Raw genomic sequence first — 24,700 nt, forward strand, 5'->3', positions numbered from 1 at the left:
AAAAAAAAAAAGAAATTCCCCCAAAATAGGTACAGCATTATACTTTGACATTATACTTTTTGGGTGAAACTGAGGAAAGGAAGATAATCCATTATATTGCCGGTGGGAATGCAGAATGCTAAAACTGGAAGGGAATTTGGTAATATCTAGTAAAATGCAAATGCATTTCCTCATTGACCTGGCAATCTCCACTTCTAGGAATGTATCTCAGAGATACAAATGCAAAATAATAAAGTGAGGCGTGCACAGTGTTATTTGTCTGTAGCACTGTTGATAATAATAAAAGATTGATATGACCACCAATAAATGACTGGTGGAATAAACTATGGTATATTACTGTGCCGATGTAAAAAAGGAATGAAAAAGATATGAATACTGCTGTGGAGTGAATTCCATGATGTACTGTTAAGTAGAAATCAAGGTGCAGAAGAATGAGTATTATATGCTACCCTTTGTGTCTCTGTGTGTGTGTGTGTTTCTTAGCTCTATCCACTAAAAGGATCTAAAGCAACAGTATCTCCATGACAATAAGAAAAAGAGAAAATATGTGCTTATATTTACAAATAAACAACGGAGGCCAGGCATGGTGGCTCACACCTGTAATCCCACACTTTGGGAGGCTGAGGCAGGAGAACTGCTTGAACCCAGGAGGCAGAGGTTGCAGTGAGCGGAGATCAGGCCACTGCACTCCAGCCTGGGAGACAAACAGAGACTCCACCTCAAAAAACAAACAACAGAAGAATAAATAATTAAAAATGACTGCTAGCGAGGCAAGAAAAAGTTGGGAAGGAATTAGAGAAGAAAATTAGACCTCTGTAAATGTAACTGGTTCACAGTATTGACTTTGGAACTATGTAAATGTTTTATGAAACTGAACAAATATAAGTAACTCTCCCTGCTTCCCCAGCAAACAAAACAAATGAACGTTGTTCTGTATCAACCAGATAGTTTTACCTACATAGTAAAGGATTTTTGAAACTGATTTTTAAATCACAATATTGATTGTGCATTCCTAGTATGCTATATTGTAAGCACAAAAAAACTTATATTGCATTCAGTGGTGTGTTTTTAGTGGTTATGTTGGTATTTTGAAACTATTCAGGTTTCATGTGAGGTAAAGCAAGCAGATACTTGTGGTAATATCATTAGGCATAGAAATTCTCAGGATAATGATGAAGGAAAGCTCCAGGATGGCAGCTTGCAGCAGGCTTGAAAAGGTTTGGAGCTGGATGAAGGACTTCATATTTCAGAGAAGGATACATTTGAGGGCACAAATGTAAAACTGTTTGATTAGCTGATATATTTGAACATATTGAAAAGGGTTTGCAGTTCTGTCGGAAAGTTTGCTGCTGATTTAGTGATAAATACTTAAAAACTAAGCAGATTTTTAAAATGCAGGCAATTGATAATTCGAGAATGAAATTGCTTGAGAAAGGAAATACTGTACTATGCTCTGCACCTCAGTTGTGAATATTATTAAATGTTTATAATATATAAACATGTTTTATTTATCAGATTTCCAACTAAAATTATAAATTTGTTGGAAAACTAATAGAAATAAATGTCAGGAGGATAAGGAGGGAAAGATTTTTTGATGGGGTCTTACCTACATTTTCCACTGTAAGGCTGGACAGGTAAGCCTTGTGGTTTATAAATCTTGGAATGTTGTAATTTAAAAAGAAATTGGTTTATGTACTAGTATAATTAAAGGAAACTGAGAAGTATATTGATTAATATTATAGGTCAGGGTAAATTATTTTGTTTTGGGCACAGTGGTTCATGCCTGTAATCCCAGCACTCTGGAAGGCTGAGGCAGGAGGATCGCTTGAGACTAATTCAAGACCAGCCTGAGCAGCATAGCAAAAACCCTGTCTTTTTATTTATTTATTTATTTTTGAGGCAGCATCTTACTCTGCGGCCCAGGCTAGAGTGCAGTAGTGCAAACACAGCTTACTTCAGCCTTTATCCCCTGGGCTGAAGTGATCCTCCTACCTTAGCCTCTTGAGTAGCTGGGACAACAGGTGCATGCTACCACACCCAGCTAGTTTTTGTTTATTTTAGAACTCAGGGATTCATGAATGGGCAGTATCAGTTGAGCAAGTGGCTCAGTGCTCCAAAGAAGGGGCAGGAGAGGGAAACTTTGATAAGGTGTTCTTGGCATCAAGACAGTAGAAAGTACCTAGTTAGAGGCTAGTTGGCAGTTTCTGATTCATAAAGTCACTAGAGGTTAGTTGGTGGTTTCTGATTAGTTAAGCTTAAGTTCACTTTGAGTTTGGTTTCTTTTTGCTTAAATAGGAACCCAAGGTGCTGTGGCCATCTCAGCATAGTGGCCTTCCAATTCATTATTTTAATAGGGATTAAGAAGACTAAAAGTTAAGGCTCCATCCTTGACTTTTTAAAAAAGCTTAATCTTCCCTTAACAAATTCTGTCAATTCTCCTTTCTACATCTCAGAAATCGGTTGCCTTCTTTTTATCTTCATTTCCTGAGGTCATTTCAGCTGCTTCCTAATTGTCCTTCCTACCTCTGAGGGTGCCTTCTCATTTTTGTTGAAGAGGTCTCCCCACCATGAACTGAAAACTTAGGATGCTTAAGCTTTTCAAAAAGTGTGAGGGAAACACATGTACAATTAACATATTAAGTGAATAATTATATAACCACCACTTAGATCAAGAAACACACATAGCCAGTAACCCCAAAAGTTCCTTGTCTGCTATATTTTTATCACTCCTTCCCTTTCCCTTAGAAGTTAACCGTTTGTCCAACCTTTTTTTTTTCTTCTTCTTCTTCTTTTTGACAGGGTCTTGCTCTGTCACCTAGGCCAGAGTGTAGTGGTGCAATCAGGGATCACTGCAGCCTTTATCTGCCAGGTTCAAATGATCCTCCAGCCGTAGACTCCTGAGTAGCTGGGCGTGTGTCACCATGCCTGAATGAGACGGAGTTTTGCTCTTGTTGCCCAGGCTGGAGTGCAGTGGCGGGATGTTGGCTCACCGCAATCTCTGCCTCCTGGGTTCAAGCAATTCTCCTGCCTCAGCCTCCCAAGTAGCTGGGATTACAGGCATGTGACGCCTGGCTAATTTTGTATTTTTTAGTAGATATGGGGTTTCTCCATGTTGGTCAGGCTGGTCTCGAACTCCCGATCTCAGGTGATCTGCCTGCCTTGGCCTCCCAAAGTGCTGGGATTACAGGCGTGCCACTGCGCCCGGCATTTATTTTATTTTTTAATTTTATTTTTTTTTGAGACAGAGTTTTGCTCTTGTTGCCCAGACTGGAGTGCAATGGTGCGAGCTCAGCTCACTGCAGCTTCTGCCCCCGGGTTCAAGCGATTCTCCCACCTCAGCCTTCCAAGCAGCTGGGATTACAGACATGCGCCAACACCTCCGGCTAATTTTTGTGTTTTTAGTAGAGACAGGGTTTCGCCATGTTGGCCAGGCTGGTCTCAAACTCCTGAACTCAGGTGATCCACTAGCTTCAGCCTCCCAAAGTGCTGGGATTACAGGTGTAAGCCACCGCACCCGGGCCATGAATTAAGTTTTTAAATTTTTTTTTGTAGTGACGAGGTCTCACTTTTACCTAGGCTGGTCTTGAACTCCTGAGGTCAAGCAGTCCTACCACCTCAGTCTCCCAAAGTTCTGGGAATACAGGCGTGAGGCACTGCACTTGGCCTGCCCCACTTTTATGTTAACAATTCCTTCATTTACGTAATGGTGAATGCTGTAACCTAGCTTTGTCTGTTTTGGGACTTTGTGTGAAAGGAATGGTGCTGGTGTATTTTATTTCTTCCTATCTTCATTTAACATTGAAGGGATCATCCATGTTGTTGCATATAGCTATAGTTTATTCATTTTTAATGCTATATAATACTTTGCACAAATATACCACAATTAAATTTTCCATTCTGTTATTGCTGTGTATTGGAAATGTTGCCTGTTTTTTGCTCTTTTTAAAGCAATGAAGCTATTAACATTCTTGTTAATATATCCTGCTGTTCGTATATGTGAGTCCTGAGGTTTTGGTGTGTGGGTGTTTTTTTGTTTTGTTTTGTTTTTTTAAATACGGTAAGGCAGAATTCCTGATCATAGAGAAGGTGAACGCTCAAGTTAACTTACCAACTCTCATATACCCACTAGCAGTTCATGTATGTTCCTGTTGGCTCAGATGTAGATGTTCACTAACATTTTGTATTATCAATCTTTTTATTTTTTGGCAACCTCGTGGGTGTTTCCTGTTAACTTATTGGGATCTGAGAAGCTTTTCCTAAGTACCAGTTAGGTTGAGCACTTTCCATATCCATCATTTAGATTTCAGCTATTGTGAAGCACTTGTTTGAGTCTCTCCTATTTTTTCTTTTTGTTGGGTTATTTAAACTTTTTTTTTCATTTTTTAAAAAGTTATTATTATTATTATTTTTTAAGACAGAGTTTCACTCTTGTTGCTCAGGCTGGAGTGCAATGGTGTGATCTCAGCTTGCTGCAACCTCTGACCCCCAGGTTCAAGCGATTCTCCTGCCTCAGCCTCCCGAGTAGTAGGGATTACAGGCATGCGCCACTACGCCCGGCTAATTTTGTATTTTTAGTAGAGATGGGGTTTCTCCATGTTGGTCGGGCTGGTCTCAAACTCCCGAGCTCAGTGATTCACCTGCCTTGGCCTCCCAAGTTATTATTTTTTTTATGAGACTTGATCTTGTTGTGTTGTCCAGGCTGGTCTCAAACTCCTGGGCTCAAGCAATCCTTCTGCCTCAGCCTCCCAAATATCTGGGATGACAAGTATGCGCCACCGTGTCTGGCTATTTTAATTTTAATAGGAGTTATTTTATATTCTCGCTATCTTCTTCCATTCTGTTTGCCTTTTTTATAGGGTCTTTTATTTTTTGAATTTGAATTTTTGAATTTTATGAATCTCTGTGGTAAGTACTCTCGTTTTAAGAATCTTTCTGGGCTGGGCGCTGTAGCTCACACCTGTAATCCCAGTACTGTGGGAGGATCACTCGAGCCCAGGAGTTTGAGACTAGTGTGGGCAACATAGGGAGACCTTATCTCAATACAAACAAACAAACAAACAAAACGAGCCAGGCATGGTGGCACAAGCCTGTGATCTCAACTACTTGAGAGGCTAATGTGGGAAGATTGCTTGGACCCAGGAGGACCCAGGGCTGCAGTGAGCCTTCATCATACCACAGCACTCCAGCCTGAGTAACAGAGCAAGACCCTGTCTCCAAAAAAAAAGAAAAAAGAAAATATTTTATTTTAAAAGCTCTATAATTTTTCCTTCACATTTGGGTTTTCGTTTCATCTGCAGTTGATTTATGTGTATGGTGAGGTTGCAGTCCAGTTTCACTTTCTACCTGCTATCCAAGCCCCATTAGCGGAAAATAGTACCATTCTTTTCCCAGTGCTCTACACCGCCGTGCTTATAATTATGTATGCGTGAGTCTGTTTCTTCCTTAGCGTCTGATTTCTCTTTCTCAGGCAGTTTTAATCTGTTGATCTATTTGTTACTACCTGCACCAGGGCCACACTTTTTTTTCCTTTTAGAAAAAAGGGTCTTGCTATGTTGCCCAATTTGGTCTCGTACTCCTGACCTCAAATTGTCCTCCTGTCTTGGTCTTGGGATTACAGGCATGAACCACTGCTTGGCCCACATTCTCTTTACAGTAGTTTTTGACAGCTGGCAAAGCAAGTCCTTATGTAACCCCTTACCAATACCTGTAATTATTTTTCAGAAGCATCTTCTAATTGTTTTTTAGCTATTTGAATTATCACATAAGAATCCACCTGTCAGGTTTCACAAAAAAACATGATAGGCTATTGGGATTATGAGAAATTGATAAAAAAAATCACTTTGGGGAGAATATTATTATGCTTCTTAATTTTTTTCCTTTAAGTCAGATGGGTAGCGTGGTAGCATCCTAACAAAGTTTGAAGGAGGCACATCGTACACATATGCCTGAAAACCTGATCATCATGCTTATGAACCACAAAAGGATCTTATGCTTTCTTTACCGACTCGTTAAGTATAATTATTCCCATTGAGATTTTGCAAGTCTTCTCTTAAAGTTTTTCTAGGTACTTGATAGGTTATGATGCTACTGTAAATGATATTCCATTTTAACTTCATTCTACCTTTTTGTTCCTGGTAAATATAAATACAAATGTGTGGGGTTTTTTTTCCTTTTTATTATTTTTTGTAGTGATGGTGTCTCACTATGTTGCCCAGGTGGGTCTTGAACTCCTGGACTCAAGTGATCCTCTCACTTTGGCCTCTCAAAATGCTGAGAGCTTTTGGCCACTGTGCCTGGCCCAAATATGTTTTATGTCTTAATTTGTTTTTGTTTTTTTGAGCCACAGTCTCCTTCTGTCACCCAGGCTGGAGTGCAGTGGCACAGTCAGGGATCACTGCAGCCTCAGCCTCCTGGGCTCAAGTCATCTTCCCACCTCATCCTCTCGAGTAGCTGGGACTACAGGCATGTACCACCATGCTCAGCTAATTTTTCCTCATTTTTGTAGCGGGGGGGGTCTCACTTTGTTGCCCAGGCTGGTGTCAAATCCCTACACTCCTCTGGCCTCAAATGCCTACACTCCTCTGGCCTTGGCCTCCCAAAGTGCTGGGATCCTAGGCATTAGCCACTGTGCCTGGACCCAAATGTTAAAAAATTTTTTTTTCAATAACTTTGTTAAATCTTTCTAATTCTAGTAAGTTCTCTGTAGCTTTGTTTGGCTTCTCTTGTATCTAATCATATCATCTGTGAATAATGACAGTGTTTATTATTTCCAATCTTTATGCCTTTTCTTTTTCTTGCTTTATCATGCTGCCTAAATTCTCCATTGTTGAATAAAAGTCAAGCCAGTGGAAATTTATCTTGTTCCTGATCTCAGAAAGGAAGCTTCAACATTACACCATTAAATAGGAAGTTTGCTGTAGGATTTTATATAGATCTTTTATAAGCATATAGATATTCCCATTGGTGAGGGAGGGATTCCTGCCATAGGATTATGAGGTTGGCCCAATACATAACAACTGACACTGGGCAGATGAAATTGACAACAGTTTATTAGTCACATAGACTTGTATAGCCCTGGGGAGGACACTACATTGCCAGGCAGGGCCACATGATGGTTGCACTTGGGACGGAGTAAACAAACAGGGACTGTGGGAGGTAGCCTTTTTATGTAGTATCATGAAAGTGGGGTGCCCCTGGTTCCCACAGGAGGATGAGATTGGCTTGTTTGAATAATTATATAGGTTGGCAAGGAACTGAAACTCAATATTTAAGCATAAGCAGAAATTGTGCCTGGTCGCTTTGATAAAGAGTATTTGGTTAAGGGACCCTCTCTGTGGAAGTAGAGTGGGGAGGAGAACTTGTGGTTAGGCTGTTCAAAGTCCTCCCGGTTTTACCAGAATCAAGGCAGTACATAATATTGAACCTCAATTCTAGGCCATATACCTCCCCATTTATTTTCTAATATTCACAGAGGCATGTGTGTCTGTGAGTGTATCTTTTTGATCATAAATAGATTTTTTTTTTTTTTGAGACGGAGTTTCGCTCTTGTTGCCCAGGCTGGAGTGCAATGGCGCGATCTTGTCTCACCTCAACCTCCGCCTCCCGGGTTCAAGTTATTCTCCTGCCTCAACCTCCTGAGTAGCTGGGATTACAGGCATGTGCCACCATGCCTGGCTAATTTTGTATTTTTAGTAGAGATGGTGTTTCACCATGTTGGTCAGACTGGTCTGGAACTCTTACCCTCAGGTGATCCACCCACCTAGGCCTCCCAAAGTACTGGGATTATAGGCATGAGCCACCACGCCTGGCCTTAGATTTTTTTTTTTTTAATATACTTTTTCTTATGTATCTAGTGAAAGCATAATTGTTCCTTTAATCTGTTAGGTGGTGAGTTCTAAGAATTGATTTTCTAATAGTAAAATAAACTTTCCTAGGCAGAAGTCTACTTTGTGATGGCATATTATTCTTTTCACATGCTGTAGGATTTGGTTTGCTAATACTTTGTTTATTACTTTTATGTTTATGAATTACCTTGGCCTGTGGTTTTTCTTTGTAATACTGCCCTTATGAATTTTTTTGTAGAGTTAGGCGAACTTCATAAAATGAATTACAGAGTGCTACTGATTTAATTTCCCTGAAGGAATTTCATGATACTTACAATCCCTGTGTAAGTTTGGAATTAAAGTATTTCTTGAATATATGGTAGCAGTCAGGGACTGGGCCTTTCTTTGTGGGAAGATTTTAACTCTGGATTCAGTTTTCGTAAAGGTTTATCTATAGGACTCTATTCTACTTGAGATACTATGGTAGACAGTTTCTTTTTTTCTAGGAATTTATACATTTTATATAAATTTTCAATTTTATTGATATAGGTAGTTGATAATAACCTCTTGGTAATTCTTTCTCTGTGTCATCTAACGTTATGAATTTTCTTTTTCATTCCCAGTGCTGATTTTATAGGCCTTCCCTATTTCTTTCTCTTTCCTCAATATGGATTTTCAATTTTATTGGTTTCTTTGAAAAAATACATTAATCGTTCTGTTTCATTTTATTAATTTCCTTTTATTTGGGAATATTTTACTATGCCTTGTCAATGTTTTGAGTACTTTTTTTTACAGTAGTAAAATATACATAACATAAAATTTACTACTTTAATCATATTCAAGTATATAATTCTGTGGCATTAAGTACATTCATAGTGTTCTGTAACTTTCACTGCTATTTCCAGAACTTTTTCATCATCCTGAGAAGAACTTTTTTTTTTTTTAATTATACTTTAAGTTCTAGGGTACATGTGCACAATGTGCAGGTTTGTTACATATATATGCATGTGCCATGTTGGTTTGCTGCACCCATTAACTCATCATTTACATTAGGTATTTCTCTTAATGCTGTGCCTCCCCCATCCCCTCACCCCATGACAGTCCCTGGTGTGTGATGTTCTCTGCCCTGTGTCCAAGTGTTCTCATTGTTCAGTTCCCACCTATGAGTGAGAACATGCAGCATTTGGTTTTCTGTTTGCTCAGAATGATGGTTTCCAGCTTCATCCATGTCCCTACAAAGGACATGAACTCATCCTTTTTTATGGCTGCATAGTATTCCATGGTGTATATGCGCCACATTTTCTTAATCCAGTCTATCACTGATGGACATTTGGGTTGGTTCCAAGTCTCTCCTGTTGTCAGTAGTGCCACAATAAACATACATGTGCATGTCTTTATAGTAGCATGATTTATAATCCTTTGGGTATATACCCAGTAATGGGATCACTGGGTCAAATGGTATTTCTAGTTCTAGATCCTTGAGGAATCGCCACACTGTCTTCCACAATGGTTAAACCAGTTTACACTCCCACCAACAGTGTAAAAGTGTTCCTATTTCTCCACATCCTCTCCAGCACCTGTTGTTTCCTGACTTTTTAATGATCGCCATTCTAACTGGTGTGAGATGGTATCTCATTGTGGTTTTGATTTGTATTTCTCTGATGACCAGTGATGATGAGCATTTTTCATGTGTCCGTTGGCTGCATACATGTTTTCTTTTGAAAAGTGTCTGTTCATATTCTTTGCCCACTTTTTGATGGGGTTGTTTGATTTTTTTCTTGTAAATTTACATTCTTTGTAGATTCTGGATATTAGCCCTTTGTCAGATAGGTAAATTGCAAAAATTTTTTCCCATTCTGTAGGTTGCCTGTTCACTCTAATGGCAGTTTCTTTTGCTGTGCAGAAGTTCTTTAGTTTAATTAGATCCCATTTGTCTATTTTGGCTTTTGTTGCCATTGCTTTTGGTGTTTTAGTCATGAAGTCCTTGCCCATGCCTATGTCCTGAATGGTATTGCCTAGGTTTTCTTCTAGGGTTTTTATGGTTTTAGGTCTAACATTTAAGTCTTTAATCCATCTTGAATTAATTTTTGTATAAGGTGTAAGGAAGGGATCCGGTTTCAGCTTTCTACATATGGCTAGCCAGTGTTCCCAAAACCATTTATTAAATAGGGAATCCTTTCCCCATTTCTTGTTTTTGTCAGGTTTGTCGAAGATCAGATGGTTATAGATGTCTGATGTTATTTCTGAGGCCTGTATTCTGTCCTACTGGTCTGTATCTCTGTTTTGGTCCCAGTACCATGCTGTTTTGGTTACTGTAGCCTTGTAGTGTACTTTGAAGTCAGGTAGCATGATGCCTCCAGCTTTGTTCTTTTTGCTTAGGATTGTCTTGGCAATGCGGGCTCTTTTATGGTTCCATATGAACTTTAAAGTAGTTTTTTTCCAGTTCTGTGAAGACAGTCATTGGTAACTTGATGGGGATGGCATTGAATCTATAAACTACCTTGGGCAGTATGGCCAATTTCACAATATTGATTCTTCCTATCCATGAGCCTGGAATGTTCTTCCATTTGTTTGTGTCCTCTTTTATTTTGTTGAGCAGTGGTTTGTAGTTCTCCTTGAAGAGGTCCTTCACATCCCTTGTAAGTTGGATTCCTAGGTATTTTATTCTCTTTGAAGCAATTGTGAATGGGAGTTCACTCATGATTTGGCTCTCTGTTTGTCTGTTATTGGCGTATAAGAATGCTTGTGATTTTTGCACCTTGATTTTGTATCCTGAGACTTTGCTGAAGTTGCTTATCAGCTTAAGGAGATTTTGGACTGAGACAATGGGGTTTTCTAAATATACAATCATGTCATCTGCAAACAGGGACAATTTGACTTCCTCTTTTGCTAATTGAATACCCTTTATTTCTTTCTCTTGCCTGATTGCCCTGGCCAGAACTTCCAACACTATGTTGAACAGGAGTGGTGAGAGAGGGCATCCCTGTCTTGTGCCAATTTTCAAAGGGAATTTTTCAAAGGTCAGTTTTTGCCCATTCAGTATGATATTGACTGTGGGTTTGTCATAAATAGCTCTTATTATTTTGAGATACGTTCCACCAATACCTAGTTTATTGAGAGTTTTTAGCATGAAGGGCTGTTGAATTTTGTCAAAGGCCTTTTCTGCATCTATTGAAATAATCATGTAGTTTTTGTCTTTGGTTCTGTTTATGTGATGGATTACGTTTCTCAATATGCATATGTTGAGCCAGCCTTGCATCCCAGGGATGAAGCCCACTTGATCTTGGTGAATAAGCTTTTTGATATGCTGCCGGATTTGGTTTGCCAGTATTTTATTGAGAATTTTCACATCGATGTTCATCAGGGATATTGGTCTAAAATTCTCTTTTTTTGTTGTGTCTCTGCCAGGGTTGGCAGATTTATGATGCTGGCCTCATAAAATGAGATAGGGAGGATTCCCTGTTTTTCTGTTGATTGGAATAGTTTCAAAAGGAATGGTACCAGCTCCTCTTTCTACCTCTGGTAGAATTGGCTGTGAATATGTCTGGTCCTGGACTTTTTTTCGTTGGTAGGCTCTTAATTATTGCCTCAATTTCAGAGACTGTTATTGGTCTATTCAGGGATTCAACTTCTTCCTGGTTTAGTCTTGGGAGTGTGTATGTGTCCAGGAATTTATCCATTTCTTCTAGATTTTCTAGCTTATTTCTGTAGAGGTGTTAATAGTATTCTCTGATGGTAGTTTGTATTTCTGTGGGATCGGTGGTGATATCCCCTTTGTCATTTTTTATTGCATCTATTTGATTCTTCTCTTTTTTCTTCTTTATTAGTCTTGGTAGTGTTCTATCTATTTTGTTGATCTTTTCAAAAAAAAAACAGCTCCTGAATTCATGAATTTTTTGAAGGGGTTTTTTGTGTCTCTATCTCCTTCAGTTCTGCTCTGATCTTAGTTATTTCTTGCCTTCTGCTAGCTTTTGAATTTGTTTGCTCTTGCATCTCTAGTTCCTTTAATTGTAATGTTAGGGTGTCAGTTTTAGATCTTTCCTGCTTTCTCTTGTGGGCATTTAGTGCTATAAATTTCCCTCCTCACACTGCTTTAAATGTGTCCCAGAGATTCTGGTACGTTGTGTCTTTGTTCTCATTGGTTTCAAAGAACATCTTTATTTCTGCCTTCATTTTGTTATGTACCCAGTAATCATTTAGGAGCAGGTTGTTCAGTTTTCATGTAGTTGTGCGGTTTTAAGTGAGTTTCTTAGTCCTGAGTTCTAATTTGATTGCACAGTGGTCTGTGAGACAGTTTGTTGTGATTTCTGTTCTTTTACATTTACTGAGGAGTGCTTTACTTCCAACTATGTGGTCAGTTTTGGAATAACTGCAGTGTGGTGCTGAGAAGAATGTATATTCTGTTGATTTGGGGTGGAGAGTTCTGTAGATGTCTCTTAGGTCTGCTTGGTGCAAAGCTGAGTTCAAGTCTTGGATATCCTTGTTAAACTTCTGTCTCATTGATTTGTCTAATGTTGACAGTGGGGTGTTAAAGTCTCCCATTATTATTGTGTGGGAGTCTAAGTCTCTTTGTAGGTCTCTAAGGACTTGCTGTATGAATCTGGGTGCTCCTGTATTGGGTGCATATATATTCAGGTTAGTTAGCTTTTCTTGTTGAATTGATCCCTTTGCCATTATGTATTGGCCTTCTTTGTCTCCTTTGATCTTTGTTGGTTTAAAGTCTGTTTTATCAGAGACTAGGATTGCAACCTCTGCTATTTTTGCTTTCCATTTGCTTGGTAGATCTTCCTCCATCCCTTTATTTTGAGCCTATGTGTGTCTGTGCACGTGAGATGGGTCTCCCGAATATAGCACACTGATGGGTCTTGACTCTCGATCCAATTTGCCAGTCTTTGTCTTTTAATTGGGGCATTTAGCCCATTTACATTTAAGGTTAATATTGTTATGTGTGAATTTGATCCTGTCATTATGATGTTAGCCGGTTATTTTGCCCGTTAGTTGATGCAGTTTCTTCCTAGCATCGATGGTCTTTACAATTTGGCATGTTTTTGCAGTGGCTGGTCTCAGTTGTTCCTTTCCATGTTTAGTGCTTCCTTTAGGAGCTCTTGTAAGGCAGGCCTGGTGGTGACAAAAATCTCTCAGCATTTTCTTGTCTATAAAGGATTTTATTTCTCCTTCACTTATCAAGCTTGGTTTGACTGGATGTGAAATTCTGGGTTGAAAATTCTTTTCTTTAAGAGTGTTGAATATTGGCCCTCACTCTCTTGGCTTGTAGAGTTTCTGCCGAGAGATCCACTGTTAGTCTGATGGGCTTCCCTTTGTGGGTAGGTAACCTGACCTTTCTTTCTGGCCGCGCTTAACGTTTTTTCCTTCATTTCAACTTTGGTGAATCTGACAATTATGTGTCTTGGAGTTGCTCTTCTCGAGGAGTATCTTTGTGGTGTTCTCTGTATTTCCTGAATTTGAACGTTGGCCTGCCTTGCTAGGTTGGAGAAGTTCTCCTGGATAATATCCCGAAGAGTGTTTTCCAGCTTGGTTCCATTCTCCCCATCACTTTCAGGTATACCGATCAGACGTAGATTTGGTCTTTTCACAAAGTCCCTTATTCCTTGGAGGCTTTGTTCATTTCTTTTTACTCTTTTTTCTCTAAACTTCTCTTCTCGCTTCATTTCATTCATTTGATCTTCAATCACTGATACCCTTTCTTCCACTTGATCGTGTTGGCTACTGAAGCTTGTGCATGCATCACCTAGTTCTCATGCCATGGTTTTCAGCTCCATAGGTCATTTAAGGTCTTCTCTACACTGTTTATGCTCGTTAGCCATTCGTCTAATCTTTTTTCAAGGTTTTTAGCTTCCTTGTGATGGGTTTGAACATCCTCCTTTAGCTCGGAAAAGTTTGTTATTACCAACCTTCTGATGCCTACTTCTGTCAACTCATCAAAGTTATTCTCCGTCCAGCTTTGTTCCGTTGCTGGCGAGGAGCTGCGATCTTTTGGAGAAGAGGCGCTCTGGTTTTTAGAATTTTCAGCTTTTCTCTGAGCAGAACTTCTTTACCCATTAAGCAAGAACTCCTCCCTATTGCCCCTTCCTCCTAGCCCCTGGTAACCTCTTTTCTGCTTTCACAAATAGAACTTTTTATTTGCCACAATTAGAAAACAGATTATTGGACTGTGGTTCATATCCAACAGCTCATTCAACATTAGCACGTATCTCATCCCCAGTTGCTTTTCCAGCACTGCTACCTTCACTGTGAAGCTCCATGAGTTTTTCCAGTTCAAACCTGGGCTTCTTCAGCATTTTTACTTTTCTACTGAAAACATCATGGAGAGGAGAAATAGATTGGCAAGCCTTTTCTATGTCTTTTCCAGTGCTATCCGGAATCAATGTATTGACCACATCTTTCAAGTCATTTGTCTGTACCTGTCAGGTCATGATTTCCAGCATCTTCTTCTGGATTTGGCAGACCTGTTGGTGCAGAGCATAAGAGATCTTCCGTATCTGATTGTTGGTTTTTTTAGTAAAACCAATACAGAACAAATGAAACAAGTAATCATAAGTAGTAGTCTTGATGTCAACATGAGCTTCAATCATGGTGTGCCATTTTTTCACCCTGGAACACATTTTGTCCTGGAGTAAGACCCATGCCATGGAAGTTAAGTCAGGCAATTTTTGCCCTGAACATCTTTGATAATCAGTTTGAATTTTCTAAATGCAACTTCATCATTCTGCAAGTCAACAAAGACTCACTGCAAACACATAACCCTTGAGACCATCAGATGCAATTTTTGTTCCTTGGTTTTGGTGATTAGTGTCTTTCTGATATTTCTTGGACATAGCAGGAGCTTTCACATCATACCAATCTTTCTAAGAAAATGGATCAACTACCTTTTTGGCTCCCTTTGCTGCCTTTCATAAGGTGCTTGTTCTTGACAACTGCTATCGTGCTGCTCCTCTTTCCTTCTGTCCTTGGGAGTTTGCCTATTCTAGAACCTCATAAAAATAGAATTATGCAATATTTGTCCTTTTCTGGTCTGACTTATTTCCTTTAGCATAGTATTTTCAAGTTTTATCCATAGCATAGCACATATCAGACATCACTTCTTATGGGTGAATAATACTCCATTGTAAGGGTATAGCACATTTTATTTACACATTGATCTTTTAGTGGATATTTAGGCTGCCCACTCTTTAGCTCTTACGAATAATACTGCTACGAACATTGGTGTCCAAATATCTGTTAGTCCCTGTTCTTCAGTTCTTTTTGGGTGTATAGGAGTAGAATGGCTGTTAGCTTTTTGGTGAACTACAAAACTGTTACCACAGCAGCTCCACCATTTTGCATCGTGTCAGCAGTGCACAAGAGTTATAGCTTCTCCACATCCTGGACAACATGTATTTTTCCTTTTATTTATTTAATTTTTTGGATGAGAGCCATCCCTAGTGGGTGTGAAGTGGTAATCTCATTGTGGTTTTGATTTGCATTTCCCAAATGATGTTGAAAATCATTTCATGTGCTTGTTGGTTGCTGTTTTTTTTTTGATCTTCTTTGGAGAAATGTCAGATAGGCACAGTGGCTGAACACTTATAATCCCAGCTATTTGGGAGTCTGTGGTGGCAGGGTCACTTGAGCCCAGGAGTTCGAGACCAGACTGAGCAACAAAGGGAGACCCTGTCTCTACAACAATGTAAGTAAAAAAATTTAGCCAGGCATGGTGGTACATGACTGTAGTCCCAGCTACTCAGGAGGCTGAGGCAAGAGGAACACTTGAGCCTAGGAGGTGGAGGCTGCAGTGAGCTGTGATTGTTATCACTGTCCTCTAGCCTGGGCAACAGGATAATACTCTGTCTCCAAAAAAAAAAAAAAAAAAAAAAAAAGGGAAAGAAAATAAATGTCTATTCAAGTTCTTTACCTATTTTTGAATTTTTGTTGTAAAAGTTTATATATCCTGGATACTAAGCACTTACAAGATACATGATGTGCAAATATATTCTCCCATTCTGTCGGTTGTCTTTTTTACCGTCTTGATAATGTCCTTTGATGTACTGTAGTTTTAATTTTGGTGAAGGGGACATCCTGCAAAGTAGCAGAGTAGGAATTTCTAGGAGTTAATCCTTACATTGAAACAACCAGTAAACTGGAAAAAATGACCAGAATCAACTTGCAGTCTGTGGTGCCAGGGGAGTGCTTGATGAAGGGAGAGGCTACTGCTCTTGCAGAATAGTTTGGGGAAAGTCTCAAATGGACTGTGCCAGCCATCAACAAGCAAAAATAAGCCATCCCTTAGACGTTGGAAAATTATAGTTGTAAAGTTACCGCAGTAACAAGATCTGAGTTTATCCTGCTTGGAGCTTATTGAGCATCTTACATGCATGGATTCATGTTCTTCATCAAATTTAGGAAGTTTTTAGGTATTAATTATTCCATATGTTTTTTGCCTCTTTCTCTTCTAGGACTTGTTCAATGGTGTTCCACAGGTGCCTTAGGTTCTGTTAATTTTTTCTTTATTTTTTCATTTTAATCTTCAGACTGGATAATTTCAATTATTTTATCTTCAAGTTTGCTGTTTCTTCTTCCTGCTCAAATCTGCCATTGTACTGCTGTATGAATTTTTCATTTTAGCTCTTGGGCTTTTCAGCTTCAGAATTTCTTTTTGGTTCTTTTCTATAATGTGTGTCTCTTTACTGACATTCCCTGTTTGTTCATATACTCTTCTGATATCCTTTAGCTCTTTGTGCATAGTTTCTTTTATCTCACTGAGCATATTTGAGACAGTTGATTTAACATCTTTGACTAGTCGTTTCACTGTCTGGGCTGTCCCAGGGATAGTTTTCTGTGAAATTATTTTTTTCCTATGAACCAGCTATGTGCTATGATTTATAATTCGTTTGTTGAGAACCAAACAATTTAAGTATTACAATGTGTTGGTAACTCTGGAAAACAGATTCTCCTTCTACTCAGGGATTTATTTTGTTGTTTGTTGAGGTCTAAAGTTGTCTATTAGTATAGTGACTTTTCCAAGAAATTTTTGCGAAGTCTTTGTTCCTTGTTATGTATGTTACTGAAGTTTCTGTCCCATTATCTCTGTATCTGCTTGCAGCCTCTCATATTTTAAGATGTCTGGATTTTTTAAAAATAGTGTGTAATCCTTTTTAAGTGTTCTGATAGATGTCACCAGAGAAGCCGCTGTAAGCCTAAGGGGGTCAAATATAACCAACCATCTCTGCTGATCCTCAGGGAACTGCCATACCAATTAAATCACACTCCAGCATTTTAGAGCACAAAGTCTTTACTGTTCACTATAGCAACAGCGAGCCATTCTAGGAACGCTGTCCCCATGTTGCAGCAGGACTATGGAATGGGTCATGGTAGCTGGTTTATGCATGCCAGTCTCTTACCAAAGGTAAGACAGTCACCTTGATAATACCAATAACCTTATCACAGCTGTCTAAAATGGTATTATTTCCCAGTAGTCTAATACAAGTCCATCTTCCATTTTTCCCCTTTTCCCAAAAATGCCCTTTATATCTGTTTTATTATTGTTGTTGTTGTTGTTGTTATTATTATTATTATTTTGGAGATGGAGTTTCACTCTTATTGCCCAGGCTGGAGTGCAATGGCGCGATCTCAGCTCACTGGAACCTCCGCCTCCTGGGTTCAAGTGATTATCTCGCCTCAGCCTCCCAAGTAGCTGGGATTACAGGCACCTGCCACCATGCCCAGCTAATTTTTATATTTTTAGTAGAGATGAGGTTTCACCATGTTGGCCAGTCTGGTCTCAGACTCCTGACCTCAGGTGATCTGTCCACCTCCACCTCCCAAAGTGCTGGGATTACAGGGGGCCGTGAGCCACTGCGACTGGTGTTATTATTTTTTAAATAGAGACAGGGTCTCACTGTGTTGCCCAGGCTGCTCTTGAACAGCTGGCCTCGAGTGACCCTCCCGCCTTGGCCTCCCAAAGTGTTAGGATTACAGGCATGAGCCACCACACCTGGCCATGTTTCTGTTAGTCTGGAATTACTTCTGTGATTAACATGAATGGTGGCTCATGCCTGTAATCCCAGCACTTTGGGAGGTTGAGGCAGGAGGACCACTTGATGGCAAGAGTTCAAAACCAGCCTGGGCAACATAGCAAGACCCCTTCTGTGTTTTAAAAAAGAAAAAAAGATGGAACAACAACAAAAAGAAAGATGTTAAACCTTACAATAAGGAGTGTGTCAACTAAAACTATACCAATATAGCTATTTTTCACCTATCAGGCAAAAATCCAAATGTTTGTTAACATACTCTATTTGAGACTTTGAGAAACTGGATATTGTTATACATTCCCAACAAGAGTATATTTGGTTGTTTCTAACAAAATTGCAGGTTTTTTTATCCTTTGACCCACAAACCCACTTCTAAGAATTTATTTTAAGGGTACATCTGCCACTAGTAAAGTGACATGTAGACAAGAGTTATTCATTGAGTCATCATTGTAATAGCAAAAAATGGGAAATAAGCTGTAAAAAAGACTGGTTGAGGTACATACCATGTGAGGAAAAAAAGAATGCAGGTAGATCTGTATTCACTGTTATGGAGTGATCACCAGGATGTATTGTTAAGTGAAAACAACAGCAACAACAACAAAAAGCTGCAGTACAATGTTTTTTGCAAAAAGAACTTCTAGGAAAAAGGAAAAAGAAATATTCGCATACCATGGCTTAATAAAAATGATTATTTATAGGGAAGGTGAAGTAGGGCAAATGGAATTGAGTGATAAAGATGGAAGAGAAATTTGCTATACTTTTTAATAAGTTTTTGACTTTTGAACCAATGTAAATGTTGTACATATTCAAAAATAAGTGTATATCTAAACTAAAAGTAAACTCTAAAAGTAGTGAACCTACAAAATGTATCGAATTGGCAACATAGCAGCATATTGTGGGATTTTATTATTGATTCTGACAGTCTGTTTCAACTAATGCATCTTAGTCTTTAAGAATATTTCTGCTGGATTTAGGATTCTGGTTAGGCAATTTTTGCACTTGGAAGACAGCCTTCTACTGTCTTCTGACTTACATTGTAGCTGACAAAAGTAGGCTAACAGGCCTACTTTTGTCTTTTTTCATGATAATTCATCCTTTTTTCTTTGTATTTAAGGCTTCTCTTTGTCTTTGATTTCTGCAGTTTTAGGATGGTATATTTATTTTCTTTATCTTTTTTTTATAGGGATGGGATCTTATTGTTTTGCCCAGGCTGGTCTCAAACTCCTGGCCTCAAGCAATCCTCCTGCTTCAGCCTCCCAAAATGTTGGGATTACAGGTGTGAGCCACCATGTCCAGTCTAGTGTGATGTATTTAGATGTTAGTTTCTTTTTATTCTACTTGAGAGTCATTGAACTTGGGAAACTTGTAGGCTCTGTTACTTCACTTCTACGAAATTCTTGCCCATTTTATTTTCTCTCAGTCCATCCTTTTGAGACTCTGATTAAATACTTGTTATATAATCGATATGTATATGTCTGTTTCTGGACTCTATTCTGTTTCATTGTTTGTATTTCTCTCCTTTCTCAAATACCACTCTGATTACTGTAGCTCTATCCATAGTAAATCTTGAAATCAAGTAGCATAAGTCCTCCAAATTTGGTATTTTTTGAATTGTTATTGCTATTCTCTGTCTTTTGCATTTTCATTAAATTTTAGGATCAGTTTGTTAGTTACTACAAAATGATCCCCTGCTGGGATTTTAATTGGGATTGCATTGAATCTTTAGATCAGTTTGGAGACATGGAATCTCAACTGTGTTGAGTCTACCAATCTAATAATGTTTTTAATGTCTCTATTTAGGTCTTCTTTAATCTTCATTTTGTGGTTTTTACTATACATGTCCTGCATATCTTTGGTTAATATTACCCCTATTTCATGTAGCTTTTTTTGGGAATGCTTTAGGATTTTTTGCATATACAATCACATCACCTGTGAATATAGTTTTACTTCTTCCTTTCCAATCTGGATTTATTTATTTTTTATTGTGTCTTTTTGCACTCACTAAAACAGTTCCGAACAGAAGTGCTAAGAGTGGACATCCTTGCCTTCTTCCTGGTGACAGCAGAAAGGATTCTGTATTTCATCATTAAATATATATTAGCTGTAGGTTTTTCAGAGATGGTCTTTATCAGGTTGAAGAAGTTTCCATCTGTTGTTAGGTTCTTGAAAGTTTGTTATGGATAGGTGAATTTTTCAGATTTTTTTTTCCTTTTTTTAATTGTATTTTCTTTAGTAGAGATGAGATCTCACTATGTGGCCCAGGCTGGTCTTGAACTCCAGGCCTGTAGTGATCCTCCTGCCTCAGCCTCGCAAAGCACTGGGATTTCAGGCATGAGCCTCTGTGCCCAGCCAAAATTTTTCAGATTTTTTTTTCCAGATATATTGAGATGATCAAAGAAGGCTTTTCTCCCTTATTTTGTTAACATAATGAATTATTTGAACGCTCAACCAGCCTTGTATTTCAGGAATAAACCCTGCTTAATCATGATGTATATGTATTTTTATGTATTTCTGGGTTTGATTTTCTAGTGTTCTGTTAATGATTTTTTGTTACTTTTTGTTTATGAGAGAGATTGTTCTGTAATTTTCTCTTCTTGTAATGACTGTCCAATTTTAGTATCAGGGTAATACTGGCCTCATAAAATAAGGTTGGAATTATTTCTTTTCTGAAAGAGTTTGCTTAGGGATGGTCTTACCTTTTTTAAATATTGAATAGAATTCACCAGTGGAGCCCTTTGTGTCTAGACTTTTCTTCGTGGGAAGGTTTTTTGTTTGGTTGGTTTGGTTTGGATCTTTTTTGTAGAGAAGGAGTTTCACCTTGTTCCCCAGGCTGGTCTTGAAATCCTGGGCTCAAGCAATCCTCCCATCTTGGCCTTCCAAAGTGCCAGTATTACAGGTGTGAGCCACCGCGCCTGGCCGATGGGAAGGTTTCAATTACAATTTCTTTTTTTTTTTTTTTTTTTTTTTTTGAGAAAGAGTCTCGCTCTGTCTCCCAGGCTGGAGGGCAGTAGCTTGATCTTGGCTCACTGCAGCCTCCACCTCCTGGGTTCAATCTCCCTGCCTCAGCCTCCCAAGTAGCTAGGATTAGGCAGCTACCACCATGTACAGCTAATTTTTGTATTTTTAGTAGAGACAGGGTTTCACCATGTTGGCCAGGCTGGTCTCAAACTCCTGACCTCAGGTGATCCGTCCGCCTCGGTCTCTCAAAGTGCTAGAATTACAAGTGTGAATCACCGCGCCCAGCCTGTTGTTGGTTTTTGAGACAGGGTCTGGCTCTGTCACCCAGGCTGGAGTGCAGTGGTGCAATCTCAGCTCACTGCAACCTCTGCCTCCTGGGCTTAAGCCATCCTCCCACCTCAGCCTCCCAAGTAGCTGGGACTACAGGCACACGCCACCATACCTGGCCAATTTTTTATTTTTATTTGTAGAGGTGGGGTTTCACCATGTTGTCCATGCTGGTCTTGAACTTCTGAGCTCAAGTGATCCGCCTGCCTCGGCTGTCCAAAGTGCTGGGATTACAGGCATCAGCCTCCGTGCCTGACCCTGTGTGGTTTTTTTATTTTTATTTTTACTTATTTATTTATTTTTTGAGACAGGGTCTCACTCTGTCACCTAGGCTGGGGTGCAGTGGCGCAATCTCAGCTCACTGCAACCTCTGCCTCCCAGGCTCAAGCCATCCTCCCACTTCAGCCTCTTGATCCTGTCATTCAACTCACTTGAGTAACTGGGACCACAATCACATGCCACCACTCCTGGCTAATTTTTGTTTTTATTTTATTTTTTATTTTTTTTCGAGACAGAGTCTCGCTCTGTCACCCAGGTTGGAGTGCAGTGGTGCAATCTTGGCTTACTGCAGCCTCTCCCTCCTGGGTTCAAGCCATCCTCCTGCCTCAGCCTCCCGAGTAGCTGGGATTACAGGCGCCTGCCATCACACCAGGCTAATTTTTGTATTTTTAGTAGAGACAGGGTTTCACCATGTTGGCCAGGCTGGTCTTGAACTCTTGAGCTCAAGTGATCCTCCCACTTTGGCCTCCCAAAGTACTGGGGTTACAGGCATGGCCAGTGTGCCTGGCCCCCTGTGTGGGTTTAGCTATAAATTTATTTACACGTTTTATTTTCCTGTATATGTTATATCTTGGTGAATATCTCATGCATGCTTAAAGAATGTGCCTTCTGCTCACATTGTTTTTTCTTTTTCTTTTTCTTTTTTTTCCGAGACGGAGTTTTGCCCAGGCTGGAGTGCAGTGGTGTGATCTCAGCTCACTGCAACCTCTGCCTCCTGGGTTCAAGCAATGCTACCTCCTCCTCCTGAGTAGCTGGGATTATAGGCATGCACCACCATGCTTGGCTAATTTTGTACCTTTAGTAGAGACAGGGTTTCACCATGTTGACCAGGCTGGTCTTCAACTCGTGACCTCAGGTGATCCTCCTGCCTTGGCCTCCCAAAGTGTTGGGATTACAGGTGTGAGCCACCATGCCTGGCCTGCTCACATTGTTTTTTTAAATGTCAATTGGATCAGGTTTGATTCTTTTGTTCAAGTCTTCTATATGTTTACTGATTTTTCTGTCTACTGCTCTATTGATTTCTGAGAGGGGAGAGTTGAAATCAACAAATGTAATGTGGATTTGTCTTTTTTTTTAATTTTTTTTTAGCTGTATCAATTTCTACATTATATTTTCAGAAGCTCTGTTAATTAGATGCATATGCATTTAGGATTCTGTCTTGATGAGTTAACCCCTTTATCATGTTCTCACTTTATCTCTTGTAAATAGTCCTTGTTCTAAAGTCTGCTTTGTCTGAGAGTATTATTAAGTCCTCCTGGTTTCATATTATGAAGGATGTTCACTGTGTACTGGTTACCATTTTAGCCCACTATATCTTGGGCTGTATTTTTACTACTTGCCTGAGTCCAGTGAGTCAAAACATTTATAAGCACAACAGGTTACATGAAGTCCAGTTTTATTACCCACAGATGGGCAGCAAGGGACAGGAGAAGCTTAGCATTCATTGCAAATCGGTCCCTCAAGGCTTGGGAAAGCTGCCCAGAGCAGATGGTCTCTTGTCTGTGGATCGCAGCTAAGGGACCCAGGAAAGAAGGTTTATGTCCCAGGAGCAACATGTTTCACTGGGCTAAAGCATTGGAGGACATCCTGTCTGAGGGTGGAGGGAATGACAGGAACAGAAACGGAGGCTCTTCCAACCAGCTCCTCCTTGTCTCAGGATGCTTCATTCCCAGCATGTTATACAGTTACACAAAGGTGTGGGGCAGGGCAGGGAACTGGCTTGATTCAAGGCAACCTGGAGCACTGCCCTGTACATGTGCTTATTATTTGAATGTGTATCTGTTAGCATTCTGTTTTTTTTTTTTCCTTTAACCTCTCTCTATGTATTTGAAGTAGATTTCTTGTAGATAGTATTTACTTGTTTTTTGTTATTTATGTATGTAAGAGTCAGTACTATTAGTGGTATTGACAGGACCACGGACAACACTATTTTGCGTTATATATATCCTCTCCCTTGTCTGTCATGGATGTTGGAATAAAGTTGCTGGATTGGTGGTGATCCATATCATGATCCTGTCATTTAACTCACTTGTGTTGTGATCTACCATGTGTAATAAGAGACTTTAAATCCATGTACATCTCTTTTGTGGAGCTAGGCAGTCAAAGAAGTGCGAGCCATTCCTAGCACATAATGTCAAAACATAAGCCCTGCATTATGCTTAGGTTTAGAAACTAAAACTTCACAGAAAGGAGATAACAAATCATATTCACATCTCAAAACCCAAAAACTTGAAACATTTCATTTGTAGAAAAAAGGAATAAGAGGCCAGGTATGATGGGTTATGCTTGTAATCCCAGCACTCTGGGAGGCTGAGACAGGCGGATTGCTTGAGGCCAGGAGTTTGAGACCATCCTGGACAACATAGTGAAACCCTGTCTCTACTAAAAATACAAAAAAAATTAGTGGAGTGTGGTGGCACAGGCCTGTAGTCCCAGCTACTCAGGAGGCTGAAGTGGGAGAATCACCTGAGCCCGAGAGGTGGAGGCTACAGTGAGCCAAGATCATGCTGCTGCATTCCAGCTTGGGCAACCAGAGTGAGACCTTGTTTCAAAAAAAAAAAAAAAAAAAAAGGAATAAGGCCAGGCACCATGGCTTATGCCTGTAATCACAGCACTTTGGGAGGCCAAGGCAGGAGGATCCCTTGAGCCCAGGAGTTTGAGAGCAGCCTGGGCAATACAGTGAGACCCAGTCTGTACATTAAAAAAAAAAAATTATCCAGGCATGGTGGTGCAGTTTTGGCAATTTTGTTGTATAAGTATGATAGGGTGTACTTACACAAACCTATGTGGTTTAGCCTACTACACACCAAGAGAATATGGTACAGCCTGTTGCTCCTAGGCTACAAATCTGCACAGCATGTTACTGTACTAAATACTGTAGTATTCATCTGTAACGCAATGGTATTTGTATATCTAAACATATCTAAAACCTAGAAAACTACAGTGTAAAAGATAAAAAAAAAAAGGTACACCTGTATAGAGCAGTTATCATGGTGGTGCTTGCAGGACTGTAATTTGCTCTGAATGAGTCAGGGAGTGAGTGATGAGTGCATATGAAGGGGGCCTAGAACATTATATACTTTTATATGACTGGCAGCTCAGTAGGCTTGTTTACACCAGCATCACCCTAAACACATGAGTAATGCATTGCACCACAGTATTATCAATATTACCACAGCTTTCACTAGGTGATAGGAATTTTCCAGCTCCATTTTATTTTTATTTATTTATTTTTTTTGAGATGGAGTCTCTGTCACCCAGGCTGGAGTGCAGTGGCACGATCTC

General features: G+C 39.6%; 1 protein-coding gene, 1 non-coding gene and 1 pseudogene across 4 annotated transcripts in view, besides 2 other annotated features; 1 reads left to right on the top strand and 2 right to left on the bottom strand.

Annotated features, from left to right (window-relative positions):
• Nucleotides 1-24,700, top strand: part of TRIM24 (tripartite motif containing 24) — a 129,738-nt gene that overhangs the window by 16,340 nt on the left and 88,698 nt on the right. The gene's annotated exons all lie outside the window — the stretch shown is intronic.
• Nucleotides 2,447-3,007: an enhancer, noted in NCBI's record as "H3K4me1 hESC enhancer chr7:138163790-138164350 (GRCh37/hg19 assembly coordinates)". NCBI's record gives its function as "activates a minimal SCP1, AML or CMV promoter by ChIP-STARR-seq in primed H9 embryonic stem cells {active_cell/tissue: H9 hESC(primed)}" and the evidence as "EXISTENCE:reporter gene assay evidence [ECO:0000049][PMID:30033119]".
• Nucleotides 3,008-3,568: an enhancer, noted in NCBI's record as "H3K4me1 hESC enhancer chr7:138164351-138164911 (GRCh37/hg19 assembly coordinates)". NCBI's record gives its function as "activates a minimal SCP1, AML or CMV promoter by ChIP-STARR-seq in primed H9 embryonic stem cells {active_cell/tissue: H9 hESC(primed)}" and the evidence as "EXISTENCE:reporter gene assay evidence [ECO:0000049][PMID:30033119]".
• Nucleotides 5,882-5,985, bottom strand: LOC124901843 (small nucleolar RNA U13). Its single transcript, XR_007060678.1, has one exon. It is a non-coding gene; the product is annotated as a small nucleolar RNA U13 (small nucleolar RNA).
• RPS3AP28 (RPS3A pseudogene 28) lies at nt 13,945-14,775 on the bottom strand (annotated as a pseudogene).

The sequence above is a fragment of the Homo sapiens genome, chromosome 7 (assembly GCF_000001405.40).
Source record: "Homo sapiens chromosome 7, GRCh38.p14 Primary Assembly".
In the NCBI taxonomy this organism is placed as follows: domain Eukaryota; kingdom Metazoa; phylum Chordata; class Mammalia; order Primates; family Hominidae; genus Homo; species Homo sapiens.